The 20,476-nt window shown below is 42.2% G+C and overlaps 1 protein-coding gene across 2 annotated transcripts in view, besides 2 other annotated features; it reads left to right on the forward strand.

Moving 5' to 3' along the window:
- Positions 2,228-2,287: an enhancer, noted in NCBI's record as "active region_24170". NCBI's record gives its function as "activates an Ori minimal core promoter by ATAC-STARR-seq in GM12878 lymphoblastoid cells {active_cell/tissue: GM12878}" and the evidence as "EXISTENCE:reporter gene assay evidence [ECO:0000049][PMID:35858748]".
- Positions 15,288-15,592: a transcriptional cis regulatory region, noted in NCBI's record as "candidate enhancer chr6.1077 targeted for multiplex CRISPR interference". NCBI's record gives its function as "positively regulates expression of the H1-3 and H1-4 genes with high confidence and the H4C3 gene with lower confidence in K562 cells {active_cell/tissue: K562}" and the evidence as "EXISTENCE:mutant phenotype evidence [ECO:0000015][PMID:30612741]".
- TRIM38 (tripartite motif containing 38) overlaps positions 19,420-20,476 on the forward strand; it is a 28,430-nt gene continuing 27,373 nt past the window's right edge. For both annotated transcript variants that reach the window (NM_006355.5, XM_047418080.1), the window contains exons 1-2: positions 19,420-19,473; positions 19,667-19,900. The gene's annotated coding sequence lies outside the window, so the exon portion shown is untranslated. The remainder of the gene's footprint in view (positions 19,474-19,666; positions 19,901-20,476) is intronic.

Here is a 20,476-nt window from a genome sequence, read left to right on the forward strand (position 1 = left end):
TGTTAAAGGAGTCAGTTGCCAGCCTGGCCAACATAGAAAAACCCCATCTCTACTAAAAATACAAAAATTAGCCAGTCATGGTGGTATGTGCCTGTAATCCCAGCTACTCGGGAGGCTGAGGCATGGGAATTGCTTGAACCCAGGAGGCGGAGGTTGCAGTGAGCCAAGATCACACCACCGCATTCTACCCTGGGTGACAGAGTGAGACTCTGTCTCAAAAAAATAAAATAAAATAAAAATGCCGAGGTGGGCGGATCACCTGAGGTCAGAGGTTCGAGACCAGCCTGGCCAACGTGGTGAAACTCTGTCTCTAATAAAAATACAAAATTAGTTTGGCATGCTGGCACATGCCTGTAATCCCAGCTACTTGGAGGCTGAGTCAGGAGACTCGCTTGAACCCAGGAGGTGGAGGTTGCAGTGAACCAAGATTGTGCCACTGTACTCCAGCCTGGGCAACAGAGTGAGACTCCATTTCAGAAAAAACAAAAACAATGACAATAGAAAAGTGTCATTTCATCAAGAAAACATAATAATCATAAATGTATGATTCTAACAACAGAGTTTCAAAATACATAACGAAGTTTTAAAATACATAGCAAAATGTCATAACAGAGTTTCAAAATACATAAAGTAAAAATGGAAAAGAAAAGACAAAATAGACAATTCTACAATCACATTTGGAGAGTTTAACACCCTTTTTTTGGTAATGATGCAATAACTAGACAAAATATCAGTAAAGACACAGAAGATCTGAACAATCCTATCTATTATCTTGAGCTAATTGATTTATAGAACATTATACACAATATCTGCATGCACATTTTGCTCAAGTACACATGATATATACATCATGATAGATCATATTCTTTTTTTCTTTTATTTTTAGTTGACATATAATAACTGTACATATATACGGGATAAAGAGTGATATTTTTATATGTGTACACAATGTGTAATAATCAAATCAGAGTAATTAGTATATCCATCACCTTAAACATTTATCATTTATTTTGTTGTGAGTATTCAAAATTCTTTTCTAGCTTTTTGAAAATATACAATAAATGAGAGTTAACCATATGCACCCTACAATGGTGCAGAACACCGGAACTCATTTCTACAATCTAGCTGTAATTTTGTCACCATTAACCAACCTCTCCCTATCCTCCCCTCCTTGCTACCCTTCCCAGCTTCCGGTACCCACAGTTCTGTTCTCTAAATCCATGAGCTAAAAATTTTTCTCTACTTTCACATATGAGTGATAACATGTAGTATTTATCTTTCCAATCCTAGCTTATCTTACTTAACATAATGTTCTCCAGTTTCATCTACGTTGCCACAAATGACAAGATTGCATTCTTCTCATGGCCAAATAGTATTTCATTGTGTATATATGCCACATTTTCTATCCATTTGTCTGTTAATGAACATTTAGGGTTGACTCTATATATCAGCTCTTGTGAAGAGTGACGCAATAAACATGGGGATGTAGGTGTCTCTTTGTATACTGATTTCCTTCCCTTTGGATAAATAGCCAGTAGCAGATTTTCAGCCTCATCTGGTAGATCTATTTTTAGGTTTCTGAGAAACCTCTGTTGTCAGTAGGCTGGTTCAGATTCTTGAATTCCCTGCACAAAAGAATTTGAAAGCCAGTCCAAAGTAAAAGTAGGCAAAGGAGTTTATTGCAAGGTGAAAGTACACGCTGATAGCAGAGTCAGGGTCGGCTACTTCAGCACCAATTGACACTGAAGAAACTCCCGTTATGGGAGTCCTACGTGATTATCCATGAGGGGGTGGGAATGGGCATTGTTGTTAAATATGTTTTGGGTGGTCTCTTGAATGTGCATGCAATATTGCCATACACGCTAGTACATACATCACATGTATTATTAGCATTTTAATTCTCTACCCAAGGGTGTGTTTCTTACTATTAAAATGAGTATATGTCAACCTGAGAACACAGCTTGTGGGTTTCTGCACTTGCACGAACTTAGGGATTTTCCCTCCTGCTCTTCTACCTCCTTGACTGAGGATATTCTAACCACTAGCCCCAGATGCAGTTTGTGTAATGTCAAGAGATTTGTTCTCTCCATCAATTTGACAAGTTTCTTGTTTCCTTTCAAGGGAGGCTGTGACCACCCTATGTAACCTACCTCACTTCCATACTATTTTGCATAATGGCTATGCTAATTGACATTTCCACCAGTGGGACATAAGAGTCCCCTCTTCTGTACATCCTCACCAGCATTTGTTATTTTTTGTTTTTTTGACAATAGCCATTCTAACTGGGGTGAGATGATACCTTATTGTGGTTTTGATTTGCATTTCCCTGATGATTAGTTATTTATATGGTTTGGCTGTGTCCCTACCCAAATCTCATCTTGAATTGTAACTCCCACAATTCCCATGTGTCCTGGGAGGAACCCAGTGGGAGGTGACTGAATTATGGGCCGGGTCTTTCCTATGCTGTTCTTATGATAGTGAATGAGTCTCACGAGATCTGATGGTTTTAAAAACGGGAGTTTCCCTGCACAAGCTCTCTCTTTGCCTGCTGCCATCCATGTAAGATGTGACTTGCTCCTCCTTGCCTTCCACCATGATTGTGAGATCTCTCCAGCCATGTGGAACTGTAAGTCCATTAAACCTCTTTCTCTTGTAAATTCCCCAGTCTCAGGTTAAGTCTTTATTAGCAGCATGAAAACAGACTAATACAGTGATGTTGAGCATTCTTTCATATATTTGTTGGCCAATTGTATGCCTTCTTTTGAGAAATGTCTGTTCAGTTCACTTGCCCACTTTTTAAATGAATTGTTGGTTGTGCACGGGTGGCTCGTGCCTATAATCCCAGCACTTTGGGTGGCTGAGGCAGGAGAACTGCTTGGGACTAGGAGTTTGGGACAAACCTGGGCAACACAGAAAGGCCCTGTCTCTAAAAAAATGAAAATAATAAAAATAAATGAATTATTAAATCTGACTACAGTAGAAATAAATTTGAAATCAATAAAAATAAGAAATGTAGAAAAAAACACACATATTTGGAAATTAAACATCATTCTAATTAATCAATCTCTCCAAACAAATCACAAAAAATTACAAAATACATTGTACTATATAATAATGACAATAAAGCACATCAAAATTCATGGGATGCAACTTAAACAGTGTGTAGAGAGATCTGTAACTTAAATTGCTTATAGTAGAAAACAAATAAAGTCTAAAATGAAAGTCCAGATTCTACAAAGGTGGTATGTCTAATAAGAGATACTTGTGTTCTCCCAGTAATACTGCGATCCCAAAGGATGATAAAAGTAAACTAGAAGTAATCCCATCCTACTCTCTGGAAACTGCTAGAATGTTTGCTCTGCTTCTCAGCAGAGCAAGGGATGTGAGAGAGGTGGGGAGAGACAGAGAGAGAGAGAGAGAGAGAGAGAGATCATCAATCCTGATAAGTTGTAACCACAAGCCAACTTTTATACACATTTAGGCTAAAAAATAAAAAGTCTTGGCTAGCCACAGAGGCTCATGCCTGTAACCCCAGCACTTTGGGAGACCAAGGTGGGAGGATCACTTGAGCCCAGGAGCTCGAGACTGGCCTGGGCAACAAAGTGAGCCCCATCTCTAAAAAAAATATTTAAAAAATTAGTCAGGCATGGTGGCACACACCTGTAGTCCTAGCTATACAGAATGGTGAGGCAGAAGGATTGCTTGAGCTCAGTAGGTTGAGGCTGCAGTGAGCCATGTTCACACCGCTGCACTCCAGCCTGGGTGACAGAGTAGGACTCTGCGTAAAAAAAAAAAAAAAAAAAAAAGTCTCAATTCATGAATTGAGTTTAAAGTAATACTTGACTGGTGGTACCCCAGCTTCCTGGCAAAAGCAGACACAAACCCCCTCTAGAAGAAAGAACATCCCAGTCCTCAGTGACCCATAAGTAATTTTACCAGAAAAATAAAGAAGTTACTGGCAAAATCATCAAATGCACAAAATGGATTGGAGGAAGCGTAGCAAGAATAAATGAAGAGGAGCTGGGTGCTGTGGCTCACGCCTGTAATCCCAGCACTTTGGGAGGCTGAGGTCAGGCGTTTGAGACCAACCTGGCCAACATGGCAAAACCCCGTCTCTACTAAAAATATAATAATTAGCTGGGCATGGTGGCATGTGCCTATAGTCCCAGCTACTTGGGAGGCCTGAGGCAGGAGAATCGCTTGAACCCGAGAGGTAGAGGCTGCAGTGAGCCTAGATGGTGCCACTGCACTCCAGCCTGGGCAACAGAGTCAGACTCTGTCTCAAAAATAAATAAATAAATAAATAAATAAATAAATAAATAAATAAATAAATAGGGATCAGGAGGTTTGAGTAAATAAGGTTAAAAGTGATGGTGTTCTAGACTATTTGTGTCTTTATATTAAAGTGAATTTTTTGTAGGCAGCATGTTGTGGCTCTTTTTTTGCTTTTTTTTGTTGTTGTCTGTTTTTTTAATTCAATCTGACAACCTCTGCTTTTGTATTAGAGTATTTAGATCATTTACCTTAAGTGTGATAATCTATATGGGTAGAGTTAAGTCTATCATCTTGCTATTACTTTCCCATTTGTCCCATCTGTTCTTTGTTCTCTTTTTCCTCTTTTTTTTCCCATCTGTTGAACAACTTAAATATTTTTTCTCATTCTATTTTATTTCTTTTTGTGGCTTGTTAGCCATAATTCTTCGTTTCATTATTTCAGTGGTTGCCTTAGAGTTTATAGTATACATCATTAATTTATCGTAGTTCATCTAAAAGTATACCACTTATATAAAATAACATTATTTTCATTTCCACTTCTTTTGCACTGTTGTTGTCATACACTTTTCTTTTGTGTGTGTGTGTGTGTGTGACAGAGTCTAGCTCTGTTGCCTAGGCTGGAGCACAGTGGTATAATTTTGCCTCACTGCAACCTCCACCTCCTGGATTCAAGTGATTCTTGTGCCTCAGCCTCCAGAGTAGCTGGGATTACAGGCGTGCACCACCACGCCTGGTTAATTTTTGTATTTTTAGTAGAGATGGGGTTTTGCCATGTTAGCCAGGCTGGTCTTGAACTCCTGTCCTCAAGTGATCTGCACGCCTCGGCCTCCAAAAGTGCTGGGATTACAGGCACGAACCTTTGTGCCCGGCCTGTTTTACTTTTAAATGCTATAAATCACACATTACATTGTTAACTATTTTTGTGAAAATAGTCAACCACATTTTATGGAGAAAAAATATTATCTGTTTACTCACATAGTTACAATTTCTAGTACTGTTTATTCCTTTGTATAAATAGGAATTTCAATATGCCTAAGGGACTTTTATCATTCTGCCTAAAGGACTTTTAAAAAATATTTTTTATTGTTCTAGTCTGCTGATTAGATGTTTATTGCCTTTAGGCAGGGAGATAAAAAAATACTACAATATTTTAGTTAATGACTGTGTCAATCAAAAAGAAGCAAGACAATCTACCATTTAATTGCACGGTTGATTTTTTAAATGAAATAGAAAACATCCACATATACAGTACAAAATGTATCATAAAACTCTCACATATGACTAGATAAATTCCTTCCTCTTTTCTCTGTATTAAATTGTCTTATTTCACCCTCATTTGGGGGGAGTTTTTTTGCTTGGTACAGAATTGTAGGTCTTTCATTAATCTAAAAAATTTTGCTCCACTGTCTTTTTGCTTATATTGTGTCTATGAGAAATATGTGATCTATACACTTGTTCTTCTGTACATAATGTGCCTTTTGTTCTTGGCTGCTTTGAAATTTTTCATTTTCCTCTTGCTTGCTTTGGGTTTGATTTGTTCTTATTTTTCTAGTTTCTTTTTTTTTTTTAATTTTGAGACGGAGTCTCGCTCTGTCTCCCAGGCTGGAATGCAGTGGCGCGATCTCAGCTCACTGCAATCTCTGCCTCCTGGGTTCAAGTGATTCTCCTGCCTCAGTGTCCCGAGTAGCTGGGACTACAGGCAGATGCCACCAGGCCTGGCTAATTTTTGTATTTTGTTAGTAGAGACAGGGTTTCACCATGTTGGTCAGGCTGGTCTCAAACTCCTGACCTCGTGATCTGTCCGCCTTGGCCTCCCAAAGTGCTGGGATTACAGGCGTGAGCCATCACGCCCAGCCTAGTTATTGATTTCTATCTTCATTCCACTTTGGTCAGAGAATATATACTCTATTATTATAGTCCTTTTACATTTATTGAGACTTATTTCATGAAGTAATATACAGTCTATCCTGAAAAATGTTTCATGTGAGCTTCAGAAGGATGTTTATTCTGCTGTTTTGGGGTGTAGTGACCTATAGATTTATGTTAGGGTCAGGTTAGGTGTTTTCAAGTGTTAAGTCTTCTATTTTTTTGTTGATCTTGTCTAACTAGTGAGGTATTGATGTCTCCAACTATTATTGTCGAATTTTCTATTTCTCCCTTCAATTCTGTCAGTTTTGTTTCATGAATATTAGGGCTCTGTTGTTAGGTGCATGTATGTTTATAATGTTATGTTTTCTTGATGAATTGACACTTTTATCATTACAAAATACCTTTCTTTATTTATTATAACAATGCTTATCTTAAAGTTTATTTTGTCTGATATTAGTATACCTACTCCAGACATCTTTTGAGTACTATTTGTATGTGATGAATTGTTCCTTTCTTTCTGCTCTCAAGATTCATCTTCTTCATCTTTTGATAATCTGATTATGATGTGTCTAGGTATGGATCTCTTTGAGTGTATCCTACTTGGAATTCATTGAGCTCCTAAAATATGTATGCAAGTTAATGCTTTTTTGCCAAACATGGGAAGCTTTGAGAAATTATTTCTCCAAACATTCTCTCTCCCTGTCCTCTCACTTTTCTCCTTCTAGGAGTCCCATTATGCATATATTAGTATGCTTGATGGTATCCCCTGTCTCTAAGGCTCTATTTCTTTTTCTTCATTCTGTCTTCTTTCTGTTTTTCAGAGTAGATCATTTCAATTGACCTATCTTTGAGTTCACTGATTACTTCTTTTTGCTGCTCAAATTTGCTGTTAAAGCCCTCTAGTAATTTTTTTTTCTTACAGATGAGATATCATGCTGTCGTTCAGGCTGGAGTGACCATGATCCTCTTACTGGGATCACAGATCACGCATGCTCCAGTCTGAGCAGCAGCATGAGCTCCAGCTTGCTCCAGCCTGAACAGCAGCAATACATTCTTTCACACACAAAAGGGTTATTGGATCTCACACAAGAAGGAATTTGGGGCTAGTCCATACAGTAAAGTGAAAACAAGTTTATTAAGAAAGTAAAGAAGGGCCGAGCGCAGTGATTTATGCCTGTAATCACAGCACTTTGGGAGGCTGAGGCAGGCAGACCACTTGAGGTTAGGAGTTCGAGACAAGCCTGACAAACATGGCAAGACACTGTCTCTACTAAAAATACAAAATTAGCTGGGTGTAGTGGCACATGTCTGTAGTCCCAGCTCCTCAGGAGACTGAGGCAGAAGAATCGCTTGAACCCAGGAGGCAGAGGTTGCAGTGAACCAAGATCGCACCACTGCACTCCAGCCTCTAGCCTGGGTGACAGAGTGAGACTCTGTCTCAAAAAAACAAAAAAAAGTTAAGAAATAAAAGAATGGGTCATGCATAGTGGGTAATGCCTGTAATCCTAGCACTTTGGGAGGCCAAGGCAAGTGGATCGCTTGAGGCCAGGAGTTCGAGACCAGCCTGGCCAACATGGCGAAACCCCATCTCTACTAATAATACAAAAATTAGCCAGGCATGGTGGCACCCACCTGTGGTCCCAGCTAGTTGGGAGGCTGAGGCAGGAGAATTGCTTGAACCCGGGAGGTGAAGGTTGCAGTGAGCCAAAACACGTCACTGCACTCCAGACTCCAGCCTGAGTGACAGAGCGAGTCTTTATCTAAAAAATAAAAATAAAAGAAAAGAATGGCTACTCCATAGGCAGAGCAGCAGTATGGACTGCTCAAATAAGCAGACGTATAGTTATTTCTGGATTATGTGCTAAACTAATGGATTATTCAAGAATTTTTCAGGAAAGAGGTGGACAATTCCCAGAACTAAGGGTTCTTCCCCGTTTTAGACCATATAAGGTAACGTCCAGATGTTGTCATGGTATTTGTAAACTGTCGTGGCACTGGTGGGAGTGTCTTGTAGCATGCTAATGCAGTATAATTAGTGTATATGAGCAGTGAGGATGACAAGAGGTCACTTTTGTGGCCATGTTGGTTTTGGTGGGCTTTAGCTGGCTTCTTTACCGTTACCTATTTTATCAGCAAGGTCTTTGTGACGGGTACCTTGTGCAACCTTCTATCTCATCCTGTGACTAAACTCCTGGTTAGAATGCCTAACCTAACCCAGCAGGCCTCAGCCTTATTTTACCCAGCCCCTATTCAAGATGGAGTCACTCTGATTCAAATGCCTCTGACATATTTTCCCACTCCCTTTTACCAGGGAACCCTTAATCCTAAGGATTGCAGTGGGATAAAGATCCGTCTTCTATAACTTCTTCAGACTAAATAGGGGCAATGATATTCCTGTCTAATTATTAGGGTCTCTTGTGTCCAGGGTAGAGAGGAGCTCAGTCACAAAGTGTCAGTATGGTGAGACATTCATAACTCTGAGGCTTCCCAAAGTGTTGAGATTACAGGCGTGAGCCACTGTGCCTGGCCAGGGTCCCATTTTTATACCAGATCCTGGATCCCAAAAGAGGGAATCAGCCCTCTTTTGGGGGATCAGCCATCTCCCCTGGGAATCTTATCTCTCGGTGGGGATGGAGACATTTCCATACCTTCTAGGTAGTCAAGAGAATGCTTCTTGTGATCCAAAAGTGCAAATAGCCAAGTATTCACCTATATTTGCCTTTAGCTATCCCCAGAAGTATATTTCCTACCTGGTTATTACACACCAGATCTCCCTCATAATGCAAAGTAATTTCTGATACCCCCAAAAGTCAAAAACATCAGATAACATAATGCAAAGCCAAACAGAGCCTTAGATTTTGCGAAGGATCTATCCACTTCCAGTTCCTGGGGTTTCATGAGGAAAACAGAGGTTTTCCCAAAATGGGGTCTGTGGTGCCTCCTCTGCTTTTCCCAAGGAGTCCCAGGCTTTTAGAGATTGAATATCCACTTTTAATTAAGCTTTTAACCATAAACCATAGCACTCTAAAGCAAAAAAAAAAGGAGTCCTTTTAAGTTTCTTATTACTCAACTTTAGCCATCCCACACGGCCATTATTTCTGGCTTTTGAACTTTACCAAAGATAATCTCCCAGGTTCTCAGAGAGAGGAAAACTCAAGACAGTGTGTGGAGGGGAAGAGAACAGAATCAACAAATGGTAAAGGTCACACAGATATCAATCAGAAAGTACTCATTCCCTAAGCCAGGATTGAACCTTGGCCGCCATTATAAAATGACAAATCCTTAGCTGCTGAGCTACAACACTGGTTAGTTTCCATTGCCCTTCCCAGAAGGGGTCCAGAGCAGCCAATTTTGAGCTTGCAATGGCTTGAGATAATTTTTAGAGTTAACTATTACATAAACCCCAAAATTCCTGTTCCCTGGATGGCAGAGACCAAGAGAAAGTACCGCCACGTGGTTACAAGGTGAAGCTCCAAAGGACATAAAACAAGATGAGAAGGAAACTTCATCCAGTTTTTATTTTTTTTTTTTTCCAGGGACCTGTAATAAACTTTGCAACGGACCAGTTTACTGGGCTGGCTTGAACAGCAGGCTTATGGAGTCCTGAGCCCATGTTCTATCCTACCATATTCCTCTTTATGACAGAGTAATACAGAAAGACAAATTGATATCACAAAGTATACCAGATTCATTACAGCTTAAGACTAGCCCCACAAATCCTTGTTCCCATTAATCAAAACTTTACAGAGGTGATAAACAGTGATTTTTACCATTCATTCAGTTTTCACTAAGAGAGAGAGGCCAGAAGCCTGACTGGTAAGAAATCTTTACCCTTTTGCTGGCATGCCAGGTTTCTGGGTTCTCTTTCACTGAGCAGCACTAGCAACCTTGCTCACTGCAAAGCCCTTGGGTCCAAGCTACGACACAAAAGAAAACCAACTTTTTTCTGTTTCATGGAACCACAGGCAAATAAATGTCTCTCACTTTTGTAAGATGCTGCCCAATGGCCACATAAAGTAACCAAATTAACGTTTTCCATTTCAGCCAGAGCAATATACATGTGACAAAACATAGACATTGGCCACTCCACTTAGCACCCAATATCTAACTGGGAAGGCTCAAACTTGCCCCCAGATAGGCCCTTTCATCTTTAATCAAACTTCTGACCAGGAGTTTCAACATATGGTCTCTGGGCAAGATGGTTGTCTCAAGTAACAGAAAAGACAGAAAAGAGAAAAGAGAGAAAGGGAGAAAAGCATTGCCTGTGGTGAGATGGGGAAGGTGAGGAGTTCACAGAGGCCAGAGAAAGACCCACCCATTGCAGCAACACTGAATCAAAAGTTCAGGCGGCTGCTTGTCATAGCAAAGGGATCTTTTCCAACAGTCCTATCAGCTGTCAAGCTTCCCCTTTTGGAGAGAAGAAAAGTTCCCAATGTCCCGTGATCCTGTACATGCCTAATCCTGTCACCCATAGCTGTCAGCAAAGAGCACAGGGAAGATTAATACAAACAGAATAGCAGTTAACATCCCCTAATGCTAAATCCGTTTTTAACCAAGAGAGACTTTACTGAGAGGGGCCTCTAACCCCTTAAATCTTAAGGACTGTAGCCTTCCTAAGTTGGGTCTCAAACCCAAGTTCGGTCAAGCATTCTTGCCCTTTATTAAGAGCGGACTGAAACCCTCTCTGTCTTAGGAGAGACCCTATCTCCCCTAAGTTGCACCTCTAACCCAATCCTATCCTTTACCCGGGGACTCCACCACTTACCCAAAGTCAGCCAGTTGGTGCTGTAGTCTGTTTCCTTTGGCTTCAGAGTCTCCTCAGTATTGTCCCTTCGTGGTCACCAGAAAGATGTTACCAGAAAGGGGTCTTGATCCAGACCCCAAGAGAGGGTTCTTGGATCTCACACAAGAAAGAATTTAGGGCAAGTCCATACAGTAAAGTGAAAGCAGGTTTATTAAGAAAGTAAGGAAATAAAAGAATGGCTACTCTGTAGGCAGAACAGCAGCGTGGTCTGCTCAAATAAGCATACTTATAGTTATTTCTGGATTATGTGCTAAACAAGGGGTGGATTATTCATGAGCATTCCAAAAAAGGGGTGGACAATTCCCAAAATTGAGGGTTCCTCCACCTTTTAGACCATATAAGGTAAAGTCCAGATATTGCCGCAGTATTTGTAAGCTGTCATGATGCTGGTAGGAGTGTCTTTTAGCATGTTAATACATTATAATTAACATATAATGAGCAGTGAAGACAACCAGAGGTCCCTTTGGTGGCCATGTTGGTTTTGATGGGTTTTGGCCAACTTCTTTACCACAACCTATTTTATCAGCAAGGTCTTTGTGATGTGTACCTTGTGCTGACTTCCTATCTCATCCTGTGACTAAGAATGCCTAACATACTGGAAATGCAGCCTAGCAGGTGTCAGCCTTATTTTATCCAGCGCCTATTCAAGATAGAGTCATTCTGGTTCAAATGCCTCTGACAATGCAGCCTTGAATTCCTGGGCTGAAGCCATCTTCCCACTTCAGCCTCCTGAGTAGCAGGGACTACAGGCACACACCATCATGCCTGGCTAATTTTTTTGTATTTTTTTTTTTAGAGATGGGGTCTCACTGTGTTGCCCAGGCTGGTCTTGAGCTCCTAGGCTAAAGCAATCCTCCTGTGTCATCCTCCCAAAGTGTTGGGCTTGTCAGAGGTATTTGAACAAGAAAGACTCCATCTTGAATAGGAGCTGGGTGAAATAAGGCTGAGTCCTGCTGGGCTGCATTCCCTGTAAGTTAGGCATTGTAAGCCACAGGATGAGGCAGGCAGTGGGCACAAAATACAGGTCATAAAGACCTTGCTGATAAAACAGGTTGCAGTAAAGAAGCCGGCTAGGCCAGGTGGGGTGGCTCACACCTATAAGCCCAGCACTTTGGGAGGCTAAGGTGGCTGGATGGCTTGAGCGCAGGAGTTGGAGATCAGCGTAGGCAACATGGCGAAACCCGGTCTCTATTAAAAATATAAAAAATTAGCTGGGTGTGGTGGCACATGCCTGTAATCCCAGCTACTTGGGAGGCTGAGGCACGAGAATCGCTTGAACTCAGAAATTGGAGGTTTCAGTGAGCTGAGATCGTGCCACTGCACTCCAGCCTGGGCAAAAAAAAAAAAGAAAAAAGTAAAGAAGCTGGCTAAACCCCACCAAATCCAAGATGGCGATGAGAGTGACCTCTGGTCATCCTCACTGCTCCCCACCAAATCCAAGATGGCGATGAGAGTGACCTCTGGTCGTCCTCACTGCTATGCTCATACCAGCGCCACGACAGTTTACGAATGCCATGGCAACGTCAGGAAGTTACTTTATATGGTCTAAAAAATGGAGGCATGAATTATCCACCCCTTGTTTAGCACATAATCAAGAAATAACCATAAAAATGAGCGACCAGCAGCCCTCAGAGCTGCTCTGCCTATGGAGTAGCCGTTCTTTTATTCCTCTACTTTCTTAATAAACTTGCTTTCACTTTACAGACTCGCCCGAATTCTTTCTTGTGTGAGATCCAAGAACCCTCTCTTGGGGTCTGGATCTGGACGGACCCCTTTCCGGTAACAGGATTACAGGTGTGAGTGAGCCACCATCCCCAGCCTTAGTAAATTTTTATTTCAGTTATTATATATTTTTATTTATTTTCTGTTTTTCAGTTATTATATTTGAAACTCCAGAATTTTTATTTAGAATGTATTAACAAATCAGGAGTACTGGCATAAGCCTGGCACAAAGCAAATGTTGACATAGGTCTGGCACAAAACAAGTGTTCAATGCATTTTAGCTACCTTTAAGTGTATTATTACTAGCTGCTTCTGGGGCTATCCGGGGAAAATTATCCTTGCAAAACCCCCACTCACTTCCAGAGCAGGCTTCAGTGAAGCAGTCATCTGTGTCATGACAAGAGCCAAACTCTGTAAAACATTTGAAGAGATTTATTCTGAGCCAAATTTGAGTGACCATGGCCCATGACACAGCCCTCAGGAGGTCCTGAGAACAAGCGCTCAAGGTGGTTGGGATGCACCTTGGCTTTATACATTTTAGGGAGGCATGGGACATCAATCAAATACGTTTAAGAAATGTACACTGGTTTGGTCCAGAGAGGCGGGACAACTGGAAGCAGCGGAGGAGTGGGGTGGAGGTGATGACAATTGGTTGAGTTTGTATAAAGATTTGGGATTAATAGAAAGGAGCACTAGGTTGTGATAACAGGTTGTGAAGACCAAAGTTGTACTATGGGATGAAGTTTTTAGCTAGCAGGCTTCAGAGAGAATAGGTTGTAAAATGTTTCTTATCAGACTTAAAAGCTGTGTTGATGTTAATGCCAGAGAGGAATAATGAGGCATGTTCAACCCCCACTTCCCTTAATGGCCTGAGCCAGTCTTTCAGGTTACATTTTAAGAAGCCTGACTGAAGAGAAAGTCTATTCAGATGGTTGGGGGGCTTTAGAATTTTATTTTTGTTTTATACCTTTGCCCTTGGAAGTTTTGCTGAAAAATGAACACAAAAAAAGGCAGATTCATAAGATAAAAGGCTTTACAATTTAATTACTCTGTGGTTCTCCTCATGCACATAGTACCAATATCCCAGTGGAATTTAGAAGCTTATATGCCACCTTGAAGTTGAAGAAATAACAGGGGCTTGATCCTTGCAAAATAGGTTATGGGAAACAGAAGAAGAGGAATTCTGTTGAGGGGCAATATGTAACTACCAGGAGAGACTAATTGGATCAAAGAACAGATAAATTTGTAAATAGTTCTCCTTGGAATTTAAATGATGCTTAGAGACTGATTATCTTATAAAAGGGTCTGTTCAGGTGTGGTTACATTCTTGGTCTTTCCTATAATGCACAATGAGATAACAGAGAGGGAGAAAAGAACAATTGTTCTCGCTGGTGGGGCCATCCTATTTTTATGTACCTAGGGAAAAGTCTCTTTAGTGTCTGTTGATCTCTAAGAGTTTTTCATTCAAAATACTCATTATATCAGGAAGCCACATTTTGGGGTGAAATTCACTACTCCCTTTTAGAGATACGGGTACAAACTGTTTGTAAAGAATGCTAAGACTTTGCCGGGTGCAGTGACTCACGCCTGTAATCCCAGCACTATGGAGGGGCCAAGGTGGGCAGATCACTTGAGGTCAGGAGTTCAAGACCTGCCTGGTTAACATGGCAAAACCCCATCTCTATTAAAAAAAACAAAAATTAGCCAGGCGTGGTGGTGGGCATCTGTAATCCCAGCTACTTGGGAGGCTGAAGGCAGGGAGAATTGCTTGAGCCTGGGAGGCAGCTGTTGCAGTGAGCCGAGATCACGCCACTGAACTTCAGCCTGGGCAACACAGCGAGACTGTCTCAAAAAAAAAAAAAAAATGCTAAGACTTACTTTGGGACATCCTTTGTCAGGGTCCATGATTCTGATTAGCTCAAGGCAGGTATTTTTTTTTTTTAATAGAGACAGCATCTTGCTATGTTGGCCAGGCTCGTCTCGAACTCCTGGCCTCCAGTGACTCCCCCCACCTCAGCCTCCCCAAGTGCTGTGATTACAGGTGTGAGCCACCACACCGGTCTGGTTTTTTTTGGTGGTTGTTGTTTTAATCCTATAATCCTGTGTCCTTTCTTCCTACCTCTGAGTAGTGCTTACTCTCTCCCCTTTAGTCATTTGAAAAGTTTATCAGAAAGTGGGTGCAGTTTCAGGCTGGGTACCGTGGCTCATGCCTGTAATCCCAACACTTTGAAATGCTTAGATGGGAGGATCATTTGAACCCAGTTCAAGATTACAGTGAGCTGTGATCGTACCATTGTACTTCAGCCAGGGTGACAGTGCAAGAGCCTGTCTCTAAAAACAAACAAAAAATTGCTTTCACACTGTGATGCTATCACATCTCTCCTAAGCTCTTGTTGGGGCTCAGAAATTGATACCCTAATATATGGCCCTTGGTCATATTGAACTGAAGAAGCCTCAAAGTCTCTCTGACATCCCTGCCACCAACTATCCCTACCAAAACACATCGTGGAATTAAAGTTTCTTTATCTACCTAAGATCCAGACCCACCAAAAAGAGCAATTATTTTTATTTACCCTTCCTGTAAGACCAAGAATGTAACCATGCCCGAACGGACTTTCACAAGATAATGTTCAAGTTAATCTCTGTTCCCTGATCTACTTACTCTCCCTAGTAATGAAAGGAGTTGGCCAGCTTGCTTTAGGCAGACAGTAAGGGAATGGTACCCAGAGAACCTCTGACCTGCCCCACAAGTGCTTACACCGGATGTTTTGTGCAGATAAGGGAACTTGCACAGGGGGCTTGCCTAAACATGCCTGCAGTGGATGATTCCTTTCCTTAACACATGCACAGTTCAGGAAATTAATCAATATGGAGTAGCTCAGTCTAAAGGCCTGCATGCACTGGTAGGACAGGGTGGAGTTGTCAGGAATTTGAGTCTTAAGCCCTAGTATTCAACTGTGAAGAGCAAACCAGAAATCTGCTTTCAGGACCCTTGTCTTTGCTGAGAGCTTTCCTTTCACTTAATAAATTCTACTCCACTCATTCTTTGATGGCTGCATGCCTAATTCTTCCTGGCTGTGAGACAAAAACCCGGACCTAGCTGAGCGAAGGAGCAAAAATCCGCAACAGTAATCCCATCAACAGAGTTTCTCTTCTTCCCCTCCCATAATCTGTTTTGCCAGGATAATATATAAGCTTTTAAGCCCTCTTGGGAAGTGGATAATCATTCTATGGTTCTCCCTGTGTACATGTTAATAAATTTGTGAGTTGATTTTTCAGCAAAGTTTCCCCAGAAGCCAAAGGGGAAATTTCCCTTGGCCCCTCCACTCTCTTTTCCCAGCTCTTCTTTTACTTTCGTTTTTATTTCCTCAGCCCAGTAGGTCACAGCCTTCTTTTTATTTCTTCTCTGTCCAAACCATCAGTATATCCTACAGGTGGGAGAGAAGCAGCTCTCTGGGAAACCAGTAAGCACCATGAGTTCTGATACTTTCTAGTACCATTTGACATATTAACATCCCCGCCACCCCTAATATGTATGGACACGCACACACATACCACATCACATGCATCACACTAACACAAACTATGTATCACATACCACACACAGCACACACAGTACCACATACCCCACACAACACCCACACCACACTACGTGCATCATGCACATATGTGCACACACCTCTTGTGATGTGTGTTTAGTGCAATTCAGAAAGTTACTCTTTGATTTAATGCACATCACTATGCTTAGAAATATTCTAGTTACTGGGATTCATCAGTGAACAATATTGAAAAAAATCCATCCCTTTGCATTCTCATGAGGGAAGCAAACACTAAACAAAATAAATTAGTAAAATATTCAGTGATAAGTGCCATGGGAACAAAATAGATTTGAAAATGTTTGGGAGGGAGAGAGGGGTACACTTGCTAACAAGTGGTCAGGATAGGGTTAGTTGAGAGGCAAAATCTGAAGGAGTTGAGGAAAGGCATTCTAGGAATAGCTGAGTGCTGACTCTTGCCCACAGTGGGAACACACAGTACAGAGCTTCTGAAGGAGACTCTAGTGACCTACTTCCCATTGTGAGTCTTTGGACTCCTATATCCCATAATCACAGGATCAAGCCTAACTTTACATATTAGAGATAATGCATTCCTCCTTGGGGATAGTTCAGGTTGATTTCTCCCTAGGCCTGCCTTTGTCAACATATTCCTGAAGTCTCATCTGCACCCCATCTCTGCTTCTAATATTGGCCACTCTGTGCATGAACCAGCCCCTCCTTCCTGCAATGGGAAACAGGTGTGAGATGGGACAGCTGTCACAATCCGTTTTGCTTTTGTCTTGCTGTTATTATTGGTAATGGTAGTTTGTTTCCTTTTTAGCATTCACTAGCTTCCTTTTCCTGATCCTTTGATAGTGTTACCAGAAAGGGGGTCCCAACCCAGACCCTAAGAGAAGGTTCTTAGATCTCGTGTGAGAAAGAATTTGGGGCAAGTCTACACAGTAAAGTGAAAGCAAGAAAGTAAAGGAATAAAAGAACGGCTACTCTACAGGCAGAGCATCAGCTTCTGGACTAAGGATACTGATATGGTTTGGCTGTGTCCCCACCTAACTCTCATCTTAAATTCCCACATATTGTGGGAGGGACCTGGTGGGAGGTAATTGAATCATGGGGGCAGGTCTTTCCCTGAGTAATTTATACTGCTGTTCTCATGATAGTCAATAAGTTTCATGAGACCTGATGGTTTTATAGAAAGGAATTTCCCTGCACAAGCTCTTTGCCTGCTGCCATCCATGTAAGACCTGACTTGCTCCTCCTTGCCTTCTGCTGTGGTTGTGAGGTCTCCCCAGACACGTGGGACTGTAAGAGCATGAAACATTTTTTCCTGGTATAAATTACTCAGTCTCAGGTATGTCTGGATCAGCAGTGTGAAAATGGACTAATACAGATACTTACAGTTATTTCTTGATTATGTACTAAACAAGGAGTGGATTATTCATATGTTTTCTGGGAAAGATGTGGGCAATTCCCAGAACCAAGCGTTCCTCCCCTTTTTAGACTATATAGGGTAGCTTCCTGACATCGCCATGGTATTTATAAACCACTATGGAGCTGGTGGGAATGCCTTCTAACTTGCTAACACATTATAATTCGTGTATAATGAGCAATGAGAATGACTAGAGGCCACTCTTGTTGCCATCTTGATTTTGGTGGGTTTTGGTCAGCTTCTTTACTGCAACCTGTTTTATCAGCAAGATCTTTATGACCTGTGTCTTGTGCCAACTGCCTATTTCATCCTGTGACTTACAATGCCTAACTTCCTGGGAATGCAGCCCAGTAGGTCTCAGCCTTATTTTACCTAGCCCCCATTCAAAATGGAGTCATTCTGGTTTGAACACCTCTGACAATAGGACAGATCTGGAATGAGCCATGCCTGGGTACAGAGTCACATCCACAACAATGAAAGTTGTAGATATCTGCAAGGACTCATCGTGGGACCAAGGATTCAGGGGCTCATTCTTTCTCCTCTCTCTGTGTGCTGGTTGCCTCAGGAGTAGAATGTCCCATGCTATGCATGGGGTCTGCAACCATCATGCCAGGGCATGATGAATCGTAGGTGGCAAAACAACAGAAGGCTCTGTGAGCACCCAGGAGGGTGCAGTGCTGAAGAGTCTTCTGCTTGGTATAGGAAGAAAGGAACGTGTTTCCCAATCTTGCCTTTATTTTGAGTAGTTGGACCAGAGGGATTGCAGCTGGGCCAAACTCCATGTTCCATTGGCTATCAGGGTCAGCAGGCAGGCCAGGGGCCCAGACAGGCCAGTGGCTCCCAGAATTCAAGTTTAATTTCTCCTCCCACCTGTGTCCTGAGCTCCCCTTACTGGTTCCCTTGGACCACTGCATCTACTTAAGCCAGCATTTATTATGTTGTTATCATAAATGCCTCTTACACCTGAGACTTATAAATGTGACAAGCTCTTATTGTGAGATAGTAATCCATCTTTTTTCCCCATGAAATAATAATTCTAACGGGTGGTGATAGTACTTTTCCTTTCATTTTGAAGTGGAGAAGCTGGAGCTAAGTCATTAAGGACTTGACCCTGGACCCCACAGCCTTTTCTCCACAAAGCACAAAGCAGAGTGATGGTCCCAGGGATCCCACACAGCTCTAAGCTGGGGGCACTCACTGCTGGGCCACTAGTGACTCCCATTTTCTATCCTGGCTGACCCTCGCTATTGAAGAAGATCTGAGTCCTGCAGAAGGACAGCAAGGAGAAAAACAAGACACAGAACGGGACAGAGAAGAATAGAAAGCTGACTCAGATGAATTTTGTGATGCCAATGAGTCCTACTGCTGTTACCACCCCTTTTTCCACCACACCCTTCAGAGCAGTTATAGAACCACAAGCAACCCATAAATAGCAAAAGAAGTAACATCAGCTAGGAAGGCTTAAGGACTCCCAAGGGAGTTGGTGGCAAAAGTAGAAAGATCTCAAATCAGAGTCTGTGAACTGAACCTCTGCAGGCTTCCTGTTTTTAGATACTCTGTGTTGGGGTCACATGATAGTTTACAGGGTTATTAATTGGTTCCTTCTTTTTATTGCTGTAAAAGAAGGATATTTTCTTCCTACGTTTCCCCCTCCTTTACCGGAGAGGCGGAGTGCAAATGATATGAACAACGTCACTAGTTTTCTCCTAAATCTTATGAGCCCCGCCTCCCACAGTAGTTTCACTTCTCAGTTTAATCCGGTCTGAGTTAACTTCCTGACCCAGGAAGTGGCAGCAACAGAGGGGACTAGCAGCGAATATGTAAGTGTCTGAGCAGTGAAGGTTACGGAAAAGGTCCAGGCTAAGGTTTTCTCAGTGGATATGTGAGTGTGTACTGATGGCAAGTGGGGTGGGGAATATATTTCGTGACAGCAGGGCCCCTCCAACTCTGAAAATGGTCAGGACTTTCTTTGTTTTACAGCTCTCACCTCTTTCCTGCTCTTTCTTTCACCAGACTTTACACCAAATCTCAGAAGATTCAGAACTTAGATGAGTGGGGCCCAGGACAGGAACCCTGGAGCCTTGGAAGGAGGGGAGCCCCATCTCCCCAGAAGAGCAGTGACCCCAGCAGAGAGGGGCCTGGTGTATCACTGGAGGAAATAGCCTGCCAAGGAATACACGTCTTCAGAAGAAATTCTGTGTGGCTTCAAGAGACTGATCAAATTGTGAGAGGAAAACAGCCTACCCGGTAATTGTAGTTAAATTACTGTTTTTTATTCTAGGCACTCTTCAAACTTCCTCCTGACTCTGCCCCTGTCCTAGAGGAGCTCCCAGGAGTAGGGGTGTGGGGGCGGGCGGGGGGGAGGGATCGGGGGTACAGGGAGAGCCCAGCTAGGTTCTCAGAAGAGGCAGGCTTTTTCGCTCCTGGTCACTCCTCTGTTGCCTATCCCTGGCCTCCCCCATCTTCTTTCTGCCTTCCCTACCTCCTTGGGTCTGCAAACTCTTTATGTTGCAATCACTCTGAACATGTCTCTTGAGATAGGTCCTGTCCTGGAGAAGAGATAGTAAAAGTAAACTCCCCAGTTCTGCAGGAGCTCTGATCCCATAGAAATAACTGCTCCTCAGGAGCAAACCCTCTGCTCTGCAGCCTTCTTTCCAATTCTTATTCCCTCAGTTTAGGGAGAGGGCACAAAAAGGATAAACCGGTTCTTCTGGTTGTTCTGGTTGCCTTGATTGCTTCCATTATCCTCCTGGTTGGGTCTCTAGCAAGACGTTATTAGCCAGGGAAGTCCCACTTAGGCACCCCTCTCTGCAGAAGAGGTAT

The sequence above is a fragment of the Homo sapiens genome, chromosome 6 (assembly GCF_000001405.40).
Source record: "Homo sapiens chromosome 6, GRCh38.p14 Primary Assembly".
Taxonomy (NCBI): Eukaryota; Metazoa; Chordata; class Mammalia; order Primates; family Hominidae; genus Homo; species Homo sapiens.